The sequence below is a fragment of the Homo sapiens genome, chromosome 12 (assembly GCF_000001405.40).
Source record: "Homo sapiens chromosome 12, GRCh38.p14 Primary Assembly".
In the NCBI taxonomy this organism is placed as follows: Eukaryota; Metazoa; Chordata; class Mammalia; order Primates; family Hominidae; genus Homo; species Homo sapiens.
In genome coordinates this window covers 111,315,509-111,337,770 of record NC_000012.12, presented here as the reverse complement: position 1 = coordinate 111,337,770, position 22,262 = coordinate 111,315,509, and the positions used below count along the sequence as shown (strand labels likewise).

At 50.4% G+C, this 22,262-nt stretch overlaps 1 protein-coding gene and 1 long non-coding RNA gene across 8 annotated transcripts in view; one reads left to right on the top strand and one right to left on the bottom strand.

The window, feature by feature from the left end:
* The window catches only part of CUX2 (cut like homeobox 2), a 316,390-nt gene that overhangs the window by 12,784 nt on the left and 281,344 nt on the right, over window positions 1–22,262 (bottom strand). For all 7 annotated transcript variants that reach the window (XM_017019081.2, NM_015267.4, XM_011538069.3 and 4 more), the window contains 3 exons: window positions 16,996–17,759; window positions 15,191–15,350; window positions 3,061–3,330 (listed from right to left, as the gene is read on the bottom strand). In XM_017019081.2, coding sequence (XP_016874570.1) covers window positions 3,061–3,330; window positions 15,191–15,350; window positions 16,996–17,759 — 1,194 coding nt within the window. The remainder of the gene's footprint in view (window positions 1–3,060; window positions 3,331–15,190; window positions 15,351–16,995; window positions 17,760–22,262) is intronic.
* The window catches only part of LOC105369983 (uncharacterized), a 34,934-nt gene continuing 30,280 nt past the window's right edge, over window positions 17,609–22,262 (top strand). Inside the window, exon 1 of the long non-coding RNA XR_945341.2 lies at window positions 17,609–17,698. This is a non-coding gene — a long non-coding RNA (uncharacterized LOC105369983). The remainder of the gene's footprint in view (window positions 17,699–22,262) is intronic.

Below are 22,262 nucleotides of genomic sequence, written 5' to 3'. Positions count from 1 at the left end.
AGCCACTGGGCCTGGCCCAAAAGTGCTTTTTTAATTTAAGAGGTTCTTTACTCCTAGGAGATCCCTGAAATTGTCTGCCAACATCATACACACAAATTTGTATCACCGTGTTGGAGGATAATTTGACAGATTCCATCCCAGTTTTAAATGTGCACAGCTTCGGAGCAAGCAGTTCCACTGCCTGGGATAGCTGCACTTGCCCAAGTTCACACAGATGCACACAGACTTATTTTTAGAGGCAGCAGGAAAGTGGAAAAAGCCAAAATGCCCATCAGTTGGGTAAAAAACTGTGGCGCATCCATGGCCTGAAACACTCTCCAGTGGTGAAAAAGAATGCGGGTAATAGAATTATTCTAACGTGGGTGGAAGGGTGCCCACAAAATAGTGTTCATTTTTCTTTTCTTTTTTTTTTTTTTTTGAGACAGGGTCTCACTCTATCACCTAGGCTGGAGTGCAGTGGTGTGATCTCAGCTCACTATAACCTCTGCCTCCCAGGTTCAAGTGATCCTCCCACCTCAGCCTCCCAAGTAGCTGAGAGCACAGGCTTAAGCCACCACACCTGGCTAATTTTTGTATTTTTATTTTTCATTTTTTTGGGGACAAAGTTTGGCTCTATCACCCAGGCTGGACTGCAGTGGTGTGATCTTGGCTCCTTGCAACCTCTGTCTCCTGGGCTCAAGCCATCCTCCTGCCTTATCCTCCCGAGTGGCTGGGACTATAGGCACACACTACCATGCCCAGTTAATTTTTCTATTTTTTGTAGAGACGGGGTTTCGCCGTGTTGCCCAGGCTGGTCTGGAACTCATGCCCTCCAACAGTCCTCCCGCCTCGGCCTCCCAAAGTGCTGGGATTACAGGTGTGAGCCACTACACCCAGCCTAGTGTTCATTTTTCAAAAGCAAGTTGCAACGCAATATTTGTATCATTTCGTCTACACAGAAAAAAAAGGAGAGGAAATTAAGTGTATATATGTTCTTATATGTGTTCAGAAAGTGTCAAAGAGACATTAAAAAACTGAAGTGTGGGCTGGGCACGGTGGCTCACACCTGTAACCCCTGCATTTTGGGAGGATGAGGCGGGAGGATCACTTGAGGTCAAGAGTTCGTGACCAGTCTGGCCAGCATGGTGAAACTCTGTCTCTACTAAAAATAAAAAAATTAGCCAGGAGTGGTGGCTCAGGCCTGTAATCCCTGCTACTAGGGTGGCTGAGGCAGGAGAATCACTTGAACCTGGGAGGCGGAGGTTGCAGTGAGCTGAGATCGTACGACTGCACTCCAGCCTGGGGCCTGGGTGACAGGAGACTCCATCTTAAACACACACACACACACACACACACACACACACACAACACTGAAGTGTCTGAGAGGCCAATGGGGAGGGATTTATTTACTTTTTTAGTAACTTTTTTTTTCCTGTACTTTTCGGTATACCTTAAAACAATGAATATGTCTTATTTTTATAACAGGAATTGTAGTGAAAATGTTGGGGTTTGCATACATCCCTCTGGTAGGGGGGCATCACCCGCATTTAAGACTCAGAGGAATTTGTGTCCCAAAAAGGGAAAGAGCCCTAGAAGAGATTTTTCCACTGTGGCCCAAGAGGGCAAAGACTTCAGCACCGGGTGAGGACTGAGCTGGAGTTCCGCAGTGACTGGGGTTCTCCACGTCTTCCTGGAAGGAAGTTTTTAAAGCCGTGGGCTGAGAATTCCAGGTCCTCTCAGACCTGCATTCACTTTGTCCTATCCCAGACCCAGGTCAGAGCCAGATGCCTCACACAGGGTCCTGGATGCCCTGGGGCTGACTCCAGTGCCCTGGGATCTCACCGTGGGCACTTTTGTCTTTTTTTTTTTTTAATTTAACTTTTTTAGAGACAAGGTCTTCCTCTGTCGTCCAGGCTGGAGTGCAATGGCATGATCATAGCTCACTGCAGCCTTGAATTCCTGGGCTCGTGCAGGCCTCCTGCCTCAGCTTCCTGAGGACTATAGGCATTCACCACAATGTGTGAAGTTTGTTTGCATGAAGTTTGCAGCTAATTTTAGGAAGCTTTTTTATTTTTTATTTTTTTGGAGATGGAGTCTCACTGTGTTGCCCAGGCTGGAGTGCAGTGGTACAATCTCGGCTCACTGCAACCTCCACCTCCTGGATTCAAACGATTCTCCTCAGCCTCCTGAGTTGCTGGGATTCCAAGTGCATGCCACCACACCCGGCTACTTTTTGTATTTTTAGTAGAGATGGGGTTTCACCATGTTGGCCAGGCTGATCTGGAACTCCTGACCTGAGGTGATTCGCCTGCCTTGGCCTCCCAAAGTGCTGAGGTTACAGGCGTGAGGCACCGGGCCCAGCTTGTTTTTTATTTTACTGATTGACTGATTTTTTTTTTGAGATGAGGTCTCGCTCTGTCGCCTTGGCTAGAGTGCAGTGGTGTGATCTCGGCTCACTGCAACCTCTGCCTCCCAGGTTCAAGCGATTCTCCTGCCTCAGCCTCCCAAGTAGCTGGGACTACAGGCATGTGCCACCACGCCTGGTTAATTTTTTTGTATTTTTAGTAGAGACGAGGTTTCACCATGTTGGCCAGGCTGGTCTCGAACTGCTGACCTCAGATGATCCACCTGCCTGGGCCTCCCAAAATGCTGGGATTACAGGTGTGAGCCACCATGCACAGCCATTAATTTATTTTATAGACAAGGTCTTGCTCTGTTGCCCAGGCTGGCATGCAGTGGCATGATCATAGCTCACTGCAGCCTTGAACTCCTGGGCTCACGCGATTCTCCTGCCTCAGGCTCCTGAGTTGCTAGGACTACAGGCATGCACCAACACGTGTGAAGTTTGTATGCATGGAGTTTTCAGCTAATTTTAAAAAGCTTTTTTAAGATATGAGATCTTGCTATGCTGCCCAGGTTGGCCTCAAACTCCTGGCCTCAAGCGATCCTCCCTCCCTGGCCTCCCAAAGCACTGGAATTACAGGTATGAGCCACTGGGTCCCAGCTCCAGACACCTTTTCAAGGCAAGTAGGAGCCAACCCAGGTGGGAGGCAGCCTCTCCGATTCCCACCCGCTCCGTACCTAGATTGTTGTCTGTGAGGACCTCCTTCACCCTCTTGGTGATGGAGTACGTGTCCAGCTCGGGGGACATGGCCACGATCTCCTGGATGCCCCCTGGGGCCTGGCTGCCTGAGTACATCTTCCCGCTCAACGAGGAGCTGGAGCGGCCCTCTGGCTGCTGGTTCTCCTTGCTGCTCTCCAGGGACAGGCTCAACGGCTCCTGGGAGCTCTTCTCAGGCTCTGTGGGGCTGGGGGGTGGGGATGGTGAGGACCTTGGTTCTGTGGGACTGGCTGTGGGCCACAGAGAAAGAGAAGGTGGTTACTATAATCTGGCACAGACACATCCACTTTCGGGAGGCTTGCTTCTTACAGCCAAGAGTTGCCAAACACCCATTTTGCAACCACTGTAGTAATAATCGCTCAGGTAGGGACCACCCTGGATGCTAAAACTAGTGGATGAAAGTTTGATGAGGACTGGACTGGGATTTCTACAAAGTCTCCAAGTATCTCCCCACATGATGCTTAGCAATTTTTTTTTTTTTTTTAAGACGGAGTCTCGCTCTGTTGCCTAGGCTGGAGTGCAGTGGTGTGATCTCGGCTCACTGCAACCTCCGCCTCCCGGGTTCAAGCGATTCTCCTGCCTCAGCCTCCCAAGTAGCTGGGACTACAGGCATGCGCCACTACGCCCTGCTAATTTTTTGTATCTTTAGTAGAGACGGGGTTTCACCATGTTAGCCAGGATGGTCTCAATCTCCTGACCTCATGATCCACCCGCCTCAGCCTCCCAAAGTGCTGGGATTACAGACATGAGCCACCACACCTGGCCGATGCTTAGTAATTACAAAGGGAAAAGTAGCCACTTTACAGTACAGAGACCTGGTTGGACTCTCTCTGTCACCCAGGCTGGAGTGCAGTGGTGCGATCTCGGCTCACTGCAACCTCTTTCCCGGGTTCAAGCGATTCTCCTGCGTCAGCCTCCTGACTAGCTGGGATTACAGGCACTGGTGGATACCATCTTAACCAATGATCCAAGTTACTATCACCAATCACAGGGCAAGTCAGCAACATGGGCCTCCTGAGAGGATGGCCTGAGAAGGACATGGCATCACTTCTGTGATATTCCCAGCCCCAAGTACACAGCCCGAATCTGATTTCAAGGGAACATCAGGCAACCAAACTCAGACTGTCCAGGAAATAACAGCCTCTACTCTTCAGAAAGGGCAACACTGGAAAACAAAGAAAGGCAGAACTGTCGAAATCAAAACATGAAAACTAAACACAAGTGATCTTGAATCTCATCCTGCACAGGGAAAAGAAATTTACATATTTTATTTAATTAATTCATTTTGAGACAGGGTCTTGCTGTGTTGCCCAGGATGGAGTGCAGTGGCTTGGTGATAACTCACTGCAACCTCGACCTCCTGGGCTCAAGTGATCCTTCCACCTTAGCCTCCCAAGCAGCTCGGACCACAGGTGTGCATCATCATGCCTGGCTCACTTTTCTTTTTTTGAGACAAGAGTTTCACTCTGTCTCAAAAAACTTCACCCAGGCTGAAGTGCAGTGGCATGATCTTGGCTCACTGCAACCTCCACCTCACGGGTTCAAGAGATTCTTGTGCCTCAGCCTCCTAAGTCACTGGGATTATAGGTGCATGCCACCACACCCGGCTAATTTTTTGTATTCTTAGTAGAGACGGGGTTCCACCATGTTGGCCAGGCTGGTCTCAAACTCCTGACCTCAAGTGATCTACCTGCCTTAGCCTCCCAAAGTGCTGGTATTGCAGGCGTGAGCCACAGCACCTGGCCAAGATTTATATATTGTATCTAAAAATTTATATAGCTCATAAAGGATATTATTGGGACAACTGAAGAAACCTGAATATAGATGGTGGGATACATGCCAGTATTTTACCACTGTAAAATTTCTTGTTTTTGGAAAGCACTTGTTGAAGCATTTAGGGCTAAAGGGACAAGATGTCAATGAATTCCTCAAATGGCAGAGAAAGAGCACGATTATGGCAAAATTAATAACTGTTCAAACTGGGTACAGTGCAGGGAGTTTGCTGTTCTACTGTTTCAATTTTTCTGTAAATTAGAAGTTACCTCAAAACGAAAAGTTAAATAAACGGCAACAACTAAAGAAGTCAGCAATGATCCAGCAATGATCTACAAGTTCAACCACAGGAGATTGGCTGAATAAAATATGGGGGATCCCTGCAGTGGGCTCTTCCGAGGCAATGAAAGAAAATGTAATGAAAAGATGTCCATGGTGCAATGCCACATTAAAAAGCTAGATTGGGGCCGGGTGCAGTGGCTCATGCCCATAATCCCAGCAATTTGGGAGGCCAAGGTGGGAGGATCACCTAAGGTCAGGAGTTGGAGACCAGCCTGGCCAAATGGTGAAACCCCGTCTCTACTAAAAAATACAAAAATTAGCTGGGCATGGTGGCACATGCCTGTAATCCCAGCTACTCGGGAGGCTGAGGCAGCAGAATCGCTTGAACCTGGGAGGCGGAGCTCGCAGAGAGCCGAGATCACACCACTGCACTCCAGCCTGGGCAATAGAGCAAGACTCTGTTTCCAAAAAAAAAAAAAAAAAAAAAGGTAGACAGATTTTTAAACTACATTTTTCATTTTTCTTTTTTTTTGGAGATGGAGTCTCACTCACTCTGTCGCCCAGGCTGGAGTGCAGTGGCATGATCTTGGCGCACTGCAACCTAGCCTCCTGGGTTCAAGTGATTCTCCTGCCTCAGCCTCCCCCATAGCTGGGATTACAAGCGTTTGCCACCACACCCGGCTAACTTTTGTATTGTTAGTAGAGATGGGGTTTCGCCATATTGGCCAGGCTGGTCTTGAATTCCTGACCTCAAGTGATCCACCCTCCTCGGCGCCCCCAAAGTACTGGGATTACAGGCTTGAACTACCATGCCGGGCCCATTTTTCATTTTTCAAAAGACATTTTGTGTGACTATATATTGGAAAAATGATTTGAAAGATATCTGGGGCTTGTGATCTCGGGTGGATGACTTTGCCAAGCCTCCGTCCTTCCATCTGTTAAATGGGGCCATAAGACACGTAGCATTATACATACTACTTGGGGCCATCGAGAGACCTCCATGAGATAACGTGGGGCAAGGGTCCACCTCCACCTCCTCTACCACCTCCACCTCCTGGGGCATTAGAGGCACCCATGGGAGTCCCAGTGTGAGCTGAGCCTCCTGAGAAACCAGGAAAGGTGGGAGCATCCCCAGGGAGGCACCCCTAATGGGTTGGCAAGCATGGTGTGGGGTCTAGGAATCCCAGCACTGGCCACACCTAATCCCAGCACATTAGAAAAAGATGCCTCTTCCTTGAGGCATTCAACTGCCACCTGCTGGAAACTTGTTAAAATAACCATTAAAATGTATGACAGCTGGAAGAAAAGGGAGCAACGGCTTTACTTTCAGAAGAGACATCCTGAGCCCAGGATGGGTTCCTTCCTTCTCTGTCGTGGGTGAGTTGGTCACTCGGATCAGACCACTCCTATGCTCCAGAATCATCAATGGCTCCCCATTGCCCCTTGTGCAAGAAATGTCTATCACCTTGTCTTGGTGATTAAGGCTCTGAACTCCCTTGTCCCTGCCAACTGGAGCTACAGCATTTCCCTCACTCCCCTTCACAAACATCTAGGCTCCTCTCTAAGCCCCTATGTCTTTGCTCAGGCTGGTCTTGCCATCCTGAGGACTTTCCTTCTAATCTTGAACTCCTATGCATTCCTCAAGATCCAGTCCTAAATGTCCCTTCCCTGAGGTCTATTAGACTTTTGGGGTCTAATAGCACCTTGAATATATATTGTCACAGTTTGCTATAATTTCTTGCTTGGGCCAGATCTCTTCCTTACTGATGACAATGATGATGATGTTAATAAATTCCCTTTATTGAGTACTTACTACATGCCCAGTGTAGTATTATGTGCTTTATGCCTATGATCCCTCTCTCTTTATATATATATATATATATATATATATATATATATATATATATATATATATATATATATATATATGTATATGTATTTTTAAATAGAGATAGGGTTTCACTATGTGGCCCAGGCTGGTATCAAACTCCTGGGCTCAAGTCATCCTCCTGCCTCGGCCTCCCAAAGTGTTGGGATTACAGGCATGGGTCACTGTGGCTGGCCAATGCTCATGATCTCAAGTGACCCTCATGACACCTCTAAGAGGTAAGTGCTATGTCATCCCATTTTATGGGTGAGGAAACCGAGGTTCAGAGAGGTTAGACAACGTGTCCAAGATCACACAGCAATAAATGGCAAAGTCAGGACTTGAGCTGGGGTTGGGTTATGCCCAACACTGTCCTCTCATCTACCAACTGTGAGCCCCTTGAAGGCAAGGACTACAAGTTAGTCACAGGTGAGTCCCCAGAGCCTGGGGGTGGGGCAGGGGCTCTGGGCAGATGCCTATGGAGTAATTTCAGCCAGGATCCCTGAGTACTCCTGAAGAGGGCAAGGTGAAGCCCCCGAGTTCGAAGTAGCAGCATCATGGCCCTTTGTGACCGTGAGGTCTCAAGAAGTCTACTGTGCCCCCAGCCCCAAGTGAGCTGATCCTGGCCATTCAGGTAGCATCCATGTGATGCCAAGGCTGACGTGGGCATGTTCCAGGCTCACTGTTACCAACACTGATGCCATGTTGGTGTGGGAGGGCCAGTCTGGGAAAGTGAGAGTCTGTCCTAGGTGTCTGCCCACTGTCGGCAGCAGGAGAGGGGCTGGGGCCAGCTGGAAAACTGACGGTCTTTGGGCCGGGCATGGTGGCTCACGCCTGTAATCCCTGCACTTTGGAAGGCCAACGCGGGTGGATCACCTGAGGTCAGGGGTTCGAGACCAGCCTGGCCAACATGGTGAAACCCCATCTCTACTAAAAATACAAAAAATTAGCCAGGTGTGTTTGCACACACCTGTAGCCCCAGCTACTCTGGAGGCTGAGGCAGGAGAATTGGTTGAACCTGGGAGGCAGAGGTCGCAGTGAGCCGGGATTGCGCCACTGCACTCCAGCCTAGGTGAAAGAACAAGACTCCACCTCGAAAACAAACAAACAAACAAAAAACACAAAAAACTGAGGGTCTTTGAAGGCATCTCCCTCTTGGAAAACTATCTGCACCCATGTCCCAACCTAGAGGGCCAAGAAGCGAAGCGAACAGGATGACATGGAGATGATTGGCAGGAAAGAACACAGCCACCCCCCAATCCCACTCCCCCAGGGAGAACCCCGCCTTTCTGACTCCTCTGACTGAGAATCGCTTCTGACGAAGTGATGGAAAGATTCAGAAATTATCTCTATCAGGAAGACTGTGCTAATTACAGGGCTGGGGGAGTCACATGTGAACAACTGGGTTATTTGGAGAGGGAGGCGACGACAGGGAGAGGCAGGGTCTTCTTGCCTTGCTGGGCTTGTGGGTGGGGTGCCAGACAGGGCTGTGGGCAGCTGGGGACAGGAGAGAGAGCAGAGTGACCAACCCATCCCAGTCTGCCCGCGACTTTCCTTATTTTACTACAGAAAGTTCCAGATCCTGGGAAATCTCTCTCTCCTGGAGAGATAAGGATGGTGCAAGAGAGATGAAAAGAGAGCACTGGAGGGACAGGGAGGGTCAGGGAGGAAGAGACAGAGCAAACAGAGGGGGAGAGAGATGGTGAGAGAGGCAGGGGGAGAGAGAGAGTGGGGTGGGGGGAGGAGAGGGAGAGGGAGAGAGGGAGAGAGGGGGAGAGAGAGAGAGAGAGAGAGAGAGAGAGAGAGATAGGTGAATCAAAAAAATGCAGAGTGAGAAAAACAGAAAGAAGACAATGGAGGTGACTGGGTGCAGTAGCTCATGCCTGTAATCCCAGCACTTTGGGAGGCCAAGGTGGGTGGATCACCTGAGGTCAGGAGTTCAAGACCAGCCTGGCCAACATGGCAAAACCTGTCTCTTCTAAAAATACAAAAAATTAGTTGGGTGCCTGTAATCCCAGCTACTTCGGAGACTGAGGCAGGAGAATTGCTTGAACCCAGGAGCCGGAGGTTACAGTGAGCCGAGATCACACCATTGCACTCCAGCCTGGGCGACAGAGTGAGACTCTGTCACACACACACACACACACACACACACACACACACACACAAAAGAAATTGGAGGAGAGAGACAGAGATCAGGAGAGAGACAGAGGGAAGACAGGGACTGTGTATGGGGACAGGACAGGGCTTCCTTGACTGCTTGAGAATTCTGAGAAACCTCGGATGGAAGGGTCTGGAATACTGATGCTGCCACGGTAGGTAGCGCCGATTATACCCGGGGCTGCGCCTGGCAGTGGACGTGGGGATAAGGGCGTGCTTTATAACCCTCCCGTGGCATCTGGCTCAACTTCAGTAACAGGTATGGTCAGGGTTCCAGTGCCGGTCCCTGCCCGCCCCAGTGGCCAGGGCATACACAAGCGGGGCTTGGACAGGTCCTGACACCCAGCCCCACAGCCAGACTCTGTGGGACTTTGTGGGCAATGGATACACCCTTTTGCTTCCAGGCCCAGTGGGTTATGAACAAGCAGAGGCTGTGAGGGTGGCTCTGCCATCACCACTCTCTCCCTAGGGCCAGCAGCTACAGTAGCCACCTCCAGGCCTGATTCCCTCATCATTATTATTATTGTTTTTGAGACAGGGTCTCGCTCTATTGTCCAGACTGGAAGGCACTCACTCCAGTTCACTGCAGCCTTGACCTCCTAGGCTCAAGCATCCTCATACCTCAGCCTCCTGAGTAGCTGGGACTACAGGCACCTGCCACCATGCCCAGCTGATTTTTGTATTTTTGTAATTTTGTACAGAAGGGGTTTTGCCATGTTGGTCAGGCTGGTCTCAAACTCCTGACCTCAAGTGATCCGCCTGCTTTAGCCTCCCAAAGTCCTGGGACTACAGGTGTGACGCACTGTGCCTAGCCTTGGCTTCCTATTCTGGGAGAGCAGGGGACCCCGCCACCTCTACTCACATCCCTTCCCAGGCCGTGCATGGTCCCACCTCCTAGCCGCTGCCTGTGCCATTCCTTCCACAAGGAGCACCATTCTCCATCTTCTCTGCTTACCTCTATCCTACCTGTGGTCAAATCCTTCCATGACAATAAAATCTACAACCAAAACAATCAGACATTGGGGAAATGCAAATAAAAACTACAGTGAAATACCACTTACACACCCACCAGGATGGCTAGCGTCAACAAATGGGAGATAACCCATGTTGGTAAGGACCTGGAGAAACAGAAACCCTTTGAACTTCCTCAGTAAGTTAAACACAAGAGTTACCATATGATCTAGCCAACTGTACTCCTAGATATATGTTCGAAGAACTGAAAATGGGGGTTCAAACACAAATATGTACACAAATTTTCATAGGCGCATTATTCAAAATAGTCAAAATGGGGTCTATCCATACAATGGAATATCATTTAGCCATAAAAAAGGAAGGAAATTCTGATGCATACTACAGCCTGTATGAGCCTTGAAAACACGTTAACTGAAAGAAGCCAGCCACAGAAGGCCAAGTAGTACAGGATTCCATCTATATGAAACATTCAGAAGAGGCAAATCCAGACAGAAAGAAAGCGGAATTCCAGGAGCTGGGGGGAAGGAGGATGGGCAATGACTGCTGGATGGGTATGGGGTTCCTTTTTGGGGCGGTGGGAATATTCTGGAATTAGACAGAGGTGATGGTCACACGCATTGTGCATGTATTAGATCCACTGAATTGTATACTTCAAAAATGGTTTAAAAGGTACATTTTACGTTATGTGATTTTTGTTTGTTTGTTTCTTTGTTTGAGACAGAGTCTCACTCTGTCACCCAGGCTGCAGTGCAGTGGTGCCATCCGGCTCACTGCAACCTCTGCTTCCTGGGTTCAAGCGATCCTCTCGCCTTAGCCTCCCGAGTAGCTGGGATTACAGATGCGTGCTACCACACCCGGCTAATTTTTGTACTTTTAGGAGAGACGGGATTTCTCCATGTTGGCCAGGCTGGTCTCAAATTCCTGGGCTCAAGTGATCGGCCCGCCTCGGCCTCCCAAAGTGCTGGGATTACAGGTGTGAGCCACGGTGCCCAGCTGTTATGTGAATTTTACTACAGTAAAAAAGTTAGTTAAAACCTAACACCACAGACCAGGCGCAGTGGCTCACCACTCCAGCCTGGGTGACAGAGTGAGACTATGTCTCAAAAAACCAAAAACCAACCCCCTCCATCACCACAACACTATAAAACAAAACCAACCCCTACCCCACCACAAGACTATAAACAAAACCCACCCCTCCCCCAACACAACACTATAAACAAAACCCACCCCTCCCCCACAACACTATAAACAAAACCCACCCCTCCCCCACCACAACACTATAAACAAAACCCACCCCTCCCCCACCACAACACTATAAACAAAACCAACCCCTCCCCCAACACAACACTATAAACAAAACCCACCCCTCCCCCACCACAACACTATAAACAAAACCCACCCCTCCCCCACCACAACACTATAAACAAACCCACCCCTCCCCCACCACAACACTATAAACAAAACCAACCCCTCCCCATCACAACACTATAAACAAACCCACCCCTCCCCCACCCCAACACTATAAACAAAACCCACCCCTCCCCCACCCCAACACTATAAACAAAACCCACCCCTCCCCCACCACAACACTATAAACAAAACCCACCCCTCCCCCACCCCAACACTATAAACAAAACCCACCCCTCCCCCACCACAACACTATAAACAAAACCCACCCCTCCCCCAACACACTATAAACAAAACCCACCCCTCCCCCAACACACTATAAACAAAACCCACCCCTCCCCCAACACAACACTATAAACAAAACCCACCCCTCCCCCAACACAACACTATAAACAAAACCCACCCCTCCCCCACCACACTATAAACAAAACCCACCCCTCCCCCACCACAACACTATAAACAAAACCCACCCCTCCCCCAACACAACACTATAAACAAACCCACCCCTCCCCCACCACAACACTATAAACAAAACCCACCCCTCCCCCACCACAACACTATAAACAAAACCCACCCCTCCCCACCACAACACTATAAACAAAAAAGGATGGAAGTCTTTTCCCAGGTAGGCTCTGGGGTAGACACATTTCGGGACCCTAGGGGGCAGGAAGCCTGATGGCCCACAGCCCAGGGTGCTCATCCTAGGTCTGCCACTCACTGGATGATGGCCTTGGGCAAGTCACTGCACTACCATGCCCCTGGATTTCCTCATCTGTGAAATGGAAATGATAAACAGTCCCTTTGGTGGAGACTGACATGAAGATTACAGGACAAAGCACTTTGACCACTTGGTGCTATGTGTGGTAAGTGGCAGCGGTCATTAGCATTAGCATGGCTGCTTTTTTTTTTTTCTTTTGAGACGGAGTCTCGCTCTGTCGCCCAGGCTGGAGTGCAGTGACAGGATCTCGGCTCATTGCAAGCTCCGCCTCCCGGATTCACACCATTCTCCTGCCTCAGCCTCCTGAGTAGCTGGGACTACAGGCGCCTGCCACCACGCCCGGATAATTTTTTTTTTTTTTTTGTAATTTTAGTAGAGACGGGTTTCACCGAGTTAGCCAGGATGGTCTCAATCTCCTGACCTTGTGATCCGCCTGCCTCAGCCTCCCAAAGTGCTGGGATTACAGGCATGAGGCACCCCACCCGGCCAGCATGGCTGCTTTTAATCCTCGTTACAGCCTTATGGAGAGGAGTTTTTAAATCATTGTATTTATAAACTATTAAAAACATATAGAAATATACAGACAACAATATGTAAGTCCTCCCCTCCCTTCCACCCATCACCGTAATCGATGCTGACACTTCACCCCCGTCACTTCCAATCTTCCTTCTTGTTTTAAAGAAACAGGAAAGGGCCAGGTGCTGTGGCTCACGCCTGTAATCCCAGCACCTTGGGAGGCCAAGGTGGGTGGATCACCTGAGGTCAGGAGTTCAAGACCAGCCTGACCAACATGGAGAAACCCCGTCTCTACTAACAATACAAAATTAGCTGGGCATGGTGGCGCACGCCTGTAACCCCAGCTACTCGGGAGGCTGAGGCAGGAGAATCGCTTGAACCCGGGAGGCAGAGGTTGCAGTGAGCCGAGATCATGCCATTGCACTCCAGCCTGGGCAACAGAGCAAGACTCTGTCTCAAAACAAAAACAAAAACAAAACAAAACAAAAAAAAGAATAGGAAAGGAGCAGAGCAAAGTCACCACGCCCTGCCTCTTCCTGGCCCCCTCCCTGCCCAGTGCAACCTCCCTCCCCAGCTGGGGGGCTGCCTCCTTATGCATTTCTTTCTTTCTTTTTTTTTTTTTTTTGAGACAGAGTCTCACACTGTTGCCCAGGCTGGAGCGCAATGGTGAGGATCTCAGTTCAACTGCAACCTCTGCCTCCCAGGTCATGTGATTCTCCCGCTTCAGTCTCCTAAGCAGCTAAGATTACATGTGCACGCCACCATTTCCAGCTAATTTTTTGTATTTTTAGTAGAGACGGGGTTTCACCATGTTGGCCAGACTGGTCTCGAACTCCTGACTTTGTGATCCGCCCGCCTTGGCCTCCCAAAGTGCTGGGATTACAGGTGTGAGCCATCACACCCGGCCTATACATTTCATTTTATTAATTCTTTTAGAGATGGTCTCACTTGCCCAGTGCAGTGTGAGATGCACTGCAGTGGCATGATCATAGCTCACTGCAGCCTCGAACTTCTGGGCTTAAGCGATCCTCCTGCCTCACCCTTACAGGCACATGCTACCATACCCGGCTAATTTTTTATTTGTAGAGATGAGGTTTCGCCATGTTGCCAAGGCTGATTTCAAACTCCAGGCTTCAAGAGATCCTCCTGCCTTCACCTCCCAAAGTATTGGGATTACAGGCGTGAGCCACTGTGCTCGGCCTCCTTTTTTCTGAGACAAGGTCTTACTCTGTCACCCAAGCCGGAGTGCAGTGGGATGATCACAGCTCAAGTGATCCTCCTGCCTCAGCCTCCCGAGTAGCTGGGACCACAGGTACGTACCATTCCAACTGATTATTTTTATATTTTGTAGAGACACGGTCTCCCTCTATTGCCCAGGCTGATCTTGAACTCCTGGCTTCAAGAGATCCTCCAGCCTCAGCCTCCCAAAGTGCTGGGATTACAGGCGTGAGCCCCCATGCCTGTCCTCAGCCTCTTTTTAAATATTAATGCATAAGTCTGCAGCCATACAGCTACACCAGTGTGCAGTCTCATCCTGTAGGTGTTAGCTTCTATAGTAAGCACTGTCACTGGGATGGAGGCTTTTGTCACTTGACATTATGTTTCCAGTCCATATTCCTGTTGATATGGGCCTGCTGACCTGGCTCGTTTCTGTGAACCTGAGATATGGTTTTGTCCTATTGACAAGACTGAGCTCAGATCCTTGGACTCAGGGTCTGGCCTCCCCTGGTCTCTGCCCTTCTCAGTGGGCAGGTCTGATGTCCTCTCCTTGCAGTCACGTGCCCTCATTCCAGTGCAGGGCCCGGGTAGGTGCCTCACCAGGGCCCTGGCAGACTTATCCGCTGGTCCCCACAGTGGCAGGGAGCTGGGGCTCCCCCTAGCACTTCCGGACTCTGGGACTTTGGGCATCCCTCTGAGCCTCCGTTTCCTCACCCGGGCAAAGCTGACACTCCAGCCTGCTCGTGCTATCATGGGCAGCTGGGTGGCACTGCCCAAGGCCCTGTGCTAAGAAGGAGTCTGAGGCTGCACGCTAGGTCTTCAGGAAACAGAGCTGAGATCGATGAGCAATTCCAGATGTGGGACTCCACATGCAAAACACATTCTCCACCTGCTCTGAGCACCATGGAGCCACTTGGAGGCTTAAAGCCAGGACCCAGTGCATCAGGCGTGCAGCTTCTAGAAGCCTCCCTCTGGTTGGAGGAAGGAAGAAAGGGGAGCAGAGAAACCCCAGGACCCCCCGCCATGTTCCAGTGCAGCCATGACAGTGACTGGGATGAAAGCCAGGGCAGCAGGGAGGGAGAGATAGGTAGACTCGGGCAGTAAAGCCAGGCGGACATGCCACTGCGCAGGTGGGAAGTTTGCCAGCACCCCCTGAGATGCTCCTGCCCGCACTCACCCTGGGAGGCACCAGGCTGCTGGCCCACTGCCTGGCCGAGCTGGTCAGAGAGCCACAGCTGCATGCGGATGAAGGGCTCCCGCCCCTTCTGCGTCAGCTTGCTCCATGGCTTCGGCCGGGACAGCATGTCGCTCACGCTGCCCTGTGACAGGCCCAGCACCTGCGAGGGGCGGGCCAGGGGGGTAGGTCAGCAGGCCCCTGGGACATGGGCCTGGCCCTCACTCTCCTCCCCAACCTTTTTTTTTTTTTTTTTTTTTTTGAGGCAGAGTCTCGCTTTGTCTGTCGCCCAGGATGGAGTGCAGTGGCACCATCTCAGCTCACTGCAAACTCCGCCTCCCAGGTTCAAATGATTCTCCTGCCTCAGCCTCCTTAGTAGTTGGGACTTGTACCAGGCTGGTGCACGTCTGGCTAATTTTTGTATTTTTAGTAGAGATGGGGTTTTGCCACATTGGCCAGGCTGGTTTCGAACTCCTGACCTCAAGTGATCCACCCAACTCAGCCTCCCACAGTGTTGGGATTATAGGTGTGAGCCACCATGCCCAGCCTCCCATCCCCTCCCCTCCCCTCTGTTGGAGTCCAGGCGGCCTTCATTTGTTCCTCATAGGTGCCTGCCATGTGCTGTTGCTGTGCCCTTCCCCTCCAGTACCCTCCCTAATGTCCCTACATGTAAAAATCCTTCAGTGCCCCCCTCCTCCAGGAAGCCTTCCCTGACCTCCCACTTAAGTCATTTCTCCCTCCTCCGAGCTTGCCTGGCCCTTTGCCTATTCCCTTGCTAAAGGTAGAGGTGACACTTAAAACTGGCATTGCAGGGGCACCAACCAATCAGGAAACACTGAGGTCCCCTGGCTAGGGTGAGCTTTATTTAACCCTTTCTTTTTAAATTTTTATTTATTTTTGGGGGGATGAGGTCTTGCTCTGTTGCCCAGGCTGGAGTGCACTGGTGTGATCATGGCTCACTGTAGCCTCGACCACCTGGGTTCAAGCAATTCTCCCACCTCAGCCTCCTGAGTAGCTGTGCACCACCACACTTGGCTAATTTTTTTTATTTTGTAGAGATGGGGGTCTTGCTACATTGCCCAGGCTGATCCCAAACACTTTTTTTTTTTTCTTTTGAGATGGAGTATCGTTCTGTCACCCAGGCTGGAGCACAGTAGCGAGATCTTGGCTCGCTGCAACCCCTGCCTCCCAGGTTCAAGTGATGCTCCTGCCTCAGTCTCCTAAGTAGCCATGACTATACCGGCACAGGACACCAAGCCCAGCTAATTTTTATATTTTTAGTAGAGATGGGGTTTCACCATGTTGGCCAGGATGGTCTTGATCTCTTGATCTCATGATCTGCCCGCCTCAGCCTCCCAAAGTGCTGGGATTACAGGTGTGAGCCACCGTGCCCAGCTTAATTTTTGTATTTTTTAGTAGAGACGGGGTTTCACCACGTTGGCCAGGCTGGTCTCAAACTTCTGGGCTCAAGAGATCTTCCCACCTCCGTCTCCCAAAGTGCTGGGATTACAGGCGTGAGCCACCAAGTCCTGCCACTTAACCCTTTAGTGGCTGGACCTCAGGCGATCTGGAGGGGCCTGGAGGAGGGGAGTTAAGTGGCTGTTTGCTGGCCAGGATGGAAGCATTTCCTGGTTTTAACAACCACGGAGCAGAACAGTGGCCCTCCTTCCTGCGGGACCCAGGGACAGCAGGACTCAGGAATGAAGGGCCTGGGCCCCTGGGGTCCCGCCAGCCTGCTTGGGTGGGCATCCTACTTCTCCGACATCTTCTCCCAGAGCCCAGACACCGGGGGCCCGCCCTGCACTCACCTTCTCCCCGAAGATCCTCTGGCAGATGCCGTTCTTGGCCAGCTTCTCCTTGACCTGGCGGGTGAGCTCCAGCGTGTCTACCTCACGGTACATGTACAGCTCGTACTGCTCGGGGGTCAGCGGCGGCACGGTGGGCTTCAGGGTGCGCGGCACGTAGGCCGGGTAGTAGGGCAGCCGCGCGCCCGCCTCGGCCGTCGCGCCCTCAGCCTTGAGCTCGCCCGTCCTGGGGGGTTCGTCCTCCGCCCCTGCCGCCGCCTCGTCCTCGGGGGGCACAGGGGCCTCGTCCCCGCGGGGCCAGGCGCGGCCGTTGGGCTGGCCAGAGTAGCCAGAGGAGGAGGAGGAGGACAGCGAGGGCGACACGGAGGCGTAGGGGCGGCTGAGCAGGCCGCGGTCGGAGGCCCAGTGGTGGTCGAAGTAGCCGGCGTCGCCGATCTCGGACTTGACCTTGCGGATGATGCTCTGCACGAAGGCGGCGGGGGACAGGACCGGGAGCGGCGCCTGCGCGGGGCCCCCGCTGCCCTCCTCCTGCTTCACCAAGGCCGGGGCCCCGTTCTGGCTCGCGGTGGCCAGTGATGGCCGCTCCGGGGGCGAGGGGGGCACCGAGCGGCCCCTGGGCGCCACCTCCATCTCCAGCAGCGCCTGCTGTTGCGCCTGCATCTCACGGCGTGCCTGCTCCAGGATGCTCTTGATGGCGTCCTCCGAGGTGCTGGCGGGGGTCGTGCCGTTGGCGATGCTCAGCGGGGCCACCGAGGTCTTGGGCTCGCCTGCGGGGAGGGGGACAGGACGGCCCGAGGCCCAGGGTCAGGGCTCGGCATGCAGGGGACGATGTTCACAGCATCCCTGTTGATGCCAGCACGGTGTCCAGGCAACCTCTGTGTCCAGCAACTGGGGATTGGCTAACTAAATTATGATCCCTCCCTGTGGCAGAATATTAGGCAGCCACCCAAAATTCGGTTGACAGTGAGGTTTTGGCATATGCAGAGAACATGCTCATGCGGATAATGCAATGCAAACACAGACCTGACTTTTGTTTTGTTTTGTTTTGAGATGGAGTCTCACTCTGGTGCTCAGGATGGAGTGCAATGGCACGATCTCAGCTCACTGCAACCTCTGCCTCCCCACTTCCAGCAATTCTCCTACCTCAGCCTCCTGAGTAGCTGGGATTACAGGTGTGCACCACCATGCCCAGCTATTTAGCTTTAGTAGAGACAGGGTTTTGCCATGTTGGCCAGGCTGGTCTTGAACTCCTGAGCTCAAGTGATCTACACCTCAGCCTCCCAAAGTGCTGAGATGACAGGCATGAACCACAGTGCCCGGCCTGACCTGACTTTTACATAGGCAATGATCCAACCATGTAAATGTTCAAAGACAAAGAAAACACGAAGGCACAGAAAAGTGGCTTGTTCACTTGTTCTGTTTTAAAAAAAAAATTCTTTAAAAATATTTCTTTCCTTCCTCATTTCCCTTCCCTTTCTTCCTTCCTTTCTTTCATAGAGATGGGGTCTTGCCATGTTGCCCAGGCTGGTTTCAAACTCCTGGCTTCAAGTGATTCTCCTGCCTGGGCCTCCCAAAGTGCTGGGACTACAAGCATGTGCCACCATGCTCAGCTAATTTTTGTATTTTTTGTAGAGACGGGGTTTTGCCATATTGCCCAGGGTGGTCTCAAACTCCTGGGCTCAAGTGATCTGCCCTCCTCAGCCTCCCAAAGTGTAGAGATTACAGGCTCGAGCCACTGTGCCCAGCCCTTCACTTGTTCTAATAGCAATGAATCCAAATGCCCATGCAGAGAATGGATCAAAAACAGTGGGATGGGCCAGGCACAGTGACTCACACCTGTCATCCCAGCACTTTGGGAGGCTGAGGCAGTCAAATTGTCTGAGTTTAGGAGTTCGAGACCAGCCTGGGCAACATGGCAAAACTCAGTCTCTGCAAAAAATACAAAAATTAGCCAGGCGTGGTGGCTCACACCTGTACCTCAGGGTCTGAGTTGGGAGCATTGCTTGAGCCTGGGAATTCGAGGCTGCAGTGAACCAAGATTGCACTCCGACCTGGGTGACAGAATGAGACATCCATCTCTAGAAAAAAAAATAGTGGGATGATCACACAATGGAACACTATGCAGCAGTGAAAAAGGAAGTCCTTATGCAAAATCAGATATGAATCTTTTTTTTTTTTTAAAAAAAGAGATGTGGTCTTGCTATGCTTCCCAGGCTGGAGTGCAGTGGCTCGATCTCAGGTGCGATCATAGCTCTCTGTGGTCTCAAACTCCTGGGCTCAAGTGGTTCTCCTGCCTCAGCCTCCCGAGTAGCTAGGACTACAGGTATGAGCTACCGTGCCCTTTGTGTGAATCCTAATAACATAATATTGAGTGAAAAAAGCAGGTGAAGGCTGGGAGCAGTGGCTTATGCTTATAATCCCAGCACTTTGGGAGGGTGAGGCAGGAGGATTACTGGAGCCCAGGAGCTCAAGACCAGCCTAGGCTACAAAATGAGACCCTGACTCTACAAAAAAGTGAAAAAAAAAAAAAAAAGAAAAAAGAAAAAAAAATTAGCCAGGCATGGTGGTGTATGCCTACGGTCCCAGCTGAGGCAGGAGGATCACTTGATCCTGGGAGGTCGAGGTGGCAGTGAGCCATGTTTGCACCACTGCACTCCAGCCTGGGCAACAGAGTGAGAGCCTATCTCAAAAAACAACAACAATAACAACAACAACAACAACAAAAACAAGTCCAATAAGATGGCACTCAGTATCACGTTTTCTTTTTTCTTTTTTCTTTTTGACTGAGTCTTGTTCTGTTGCCCAGGCTGGAGTGCAGTGGCGTGATCTCAGCTCACCTCAACTTCTGCCTCCCAGGTTCAGGCAATTCTCTTGCCTCAGCCTCCCGAGTAGCTGGGATTACAGGCACTCGCCACCAGGCCTGGCTAATTTTTTTTTGTATTTTTAGTAGAGATCGGGTTTCACCATGTTAGCCAGGCTGGTCTCAAACTCCTGAGCTCAAATGATCTGCCCACCTTGGCCTCCTAAAGTGCTAGGATTACAGGTGTGAGCCACCGCGCCCGGTCGGTATCACATGTTTTCTATCAAGTTCCATAACAAATAACATAAACACTATATGATTTAGTGAAAAACCTTTTCTACAAATGGCAAACACAAAGGAACAACAGGACAAAATTTTAGGATGAAAGACATCTCTGGGAGAGGAAGGCAGGGGTGGGATGGGGAGGAAAATGCCAGATCTCAGTTATTGGGAATTTTCTAAATCTTGGGTTGGGCAATATGTTCCCAGAGGTTCATTCTGTCATTTACATGAGTGAACGAATGAATGAATGCATGAATATACACACACATATATACACATATATATATATGCACGTGTGTACACACATACACACAGACACCTGAGAGAAGGCCATGCAGGCGGCAGCCCTGAGAGTGTGTCATGAACCAAGGATAATAGATGGATCTGTGCCCTGAGGAATGACAATTAACCAGTAAATGAAAAGGTGCTTCCCTCTGCCCTCAGAGAAGCGTTCCCGACACCAGAGTCTCTCTAGCTCTGCAGAAAGCCAGATCAATGTAACCCCTTCTTCATTATCTCTGTGTAGCTTTCATCCTAGTGGGTCCTCTTAGACCCATTAAAAATAATTTTCATTGCTTTTCCAATTAAAAAGTAATATAGCAATGGAACATTATTTTGTCATAAAAAGGAATGAAGCACTAACAGGGGCTACAACAGGAATAAGCCTTACAAACATGGGGCTGAGTGAAAGAGGCCAGACGCAAGGTAGCACATATGATATGATTCCATTTACACAAAATGTGCAGAACAGGTCAATCCACAGAAACAGGATGCAGATCAGTGGTTTCCAGGGGCTGGGGGGAGAGTGGAAAGGAGAAGCACTGCTTAATGGGTATAGGGTTTCCTTCTGGGGTGATGAACATGTGTGAACTGGAGAGAGATGATGGTTGCATAACACTGACTATACTAACTACTACTGAATTGTACACTTTAAAATGGTTAATTTTGGCCGGGCGTGGTGGTTCACGTCTGTAATCCCAGCACTTTGGGAGACTGAGGCAGGCCGATCACTTGACCTCAGGAATTTGAAACCAGTCTGGCCAACGTGGTGAAACCCCGTCTCTACTAAAAATACAAAAATTAGCTGGGCGTGGTGGCACGCACCTGTAATCCCAGCTACTCAGGAGGCTGAGGCAGGAGAATTGCTTGAACCTGGGAAGTGGAGGTTGCAGTGAGCCGAGATCACACCACTGCACTCCAGCCTGGGCGACAGAGCTAAAGACTCTGTCAAAAAAAAAAAAAAAAAAGAAGTGCCGGGCGCGGTGGCTCAAGCGTGTAATCCCAGCATTTTGGGAGGTTGAGGCAGGCGGATCATCTGAGGTCAGGAGATTGAGACCAGCCTGACCAACACGGAGAAACCCCGTCTCTACTAAAAATTAAAAAAAAAAAAATTAACCGGGCGTGGTGGCACATGCCTGTAATCCCAGCTACTCGGGAGGCTGAGGCGGAATCACTTGAACCCAGGAGGCGGAGGTTGTGGTGAGCCGAGATTGCGCCACTGCACTCCAGTCTGGGCAACAAGAGCACAACTCTGTCTCAAAAAAAAAAAAAAAAGCTTAATTTTATGTTATGAGAATTTTACCTCGATTAAAAAAAACTCATACTTGCCTACTATGGGAGCACAGAGGAGCATGCAAAAAAAAGCACAAAAAGTCAAGATCAAAATGAAAGTCACCCTTACTGTCTCTTAGGAGCAACCACGTGAAATATTCTCATGTATTCCCTTCCAGTCTGTTTTCTAAACTACATGCATCGCATGATCATACTCGATATGTGGAAGTGTAGTCTGGTTTGTCCCCATTTAGTATCAACATGAGTGTTTTTTTTCTTTTTTTCTTTTTTGGAGACAGGGTCTTGGTATGTTGCCCAGGCTAGTCTCAAACTCCTGGGTTTAAGCGATCTTCCTGCCTCAGCCTCTCAAGTAGTTGGGACTACATGCATTTGCCACTATGCCCAGCTAAATTTTTTCTTTTTTTTTGAGACCGAGTCTTGCTCTGTTGCCCAGGCTGGAGTGCAATGGCGCGATCTCGGCTCACTGCAACCTCTGCTTTCCAGGTTCAAGTGGTTCTCCTGCCTCAGCCTCCTGAGTAGCTGGGATTACAGGTTCCTACTACCATGCCTGGCTAATTTTTGTATTTTTAGTAGAGATGGGGTTTTGCCATGTGGTCCAGGCTGGTCTCCAACTCCT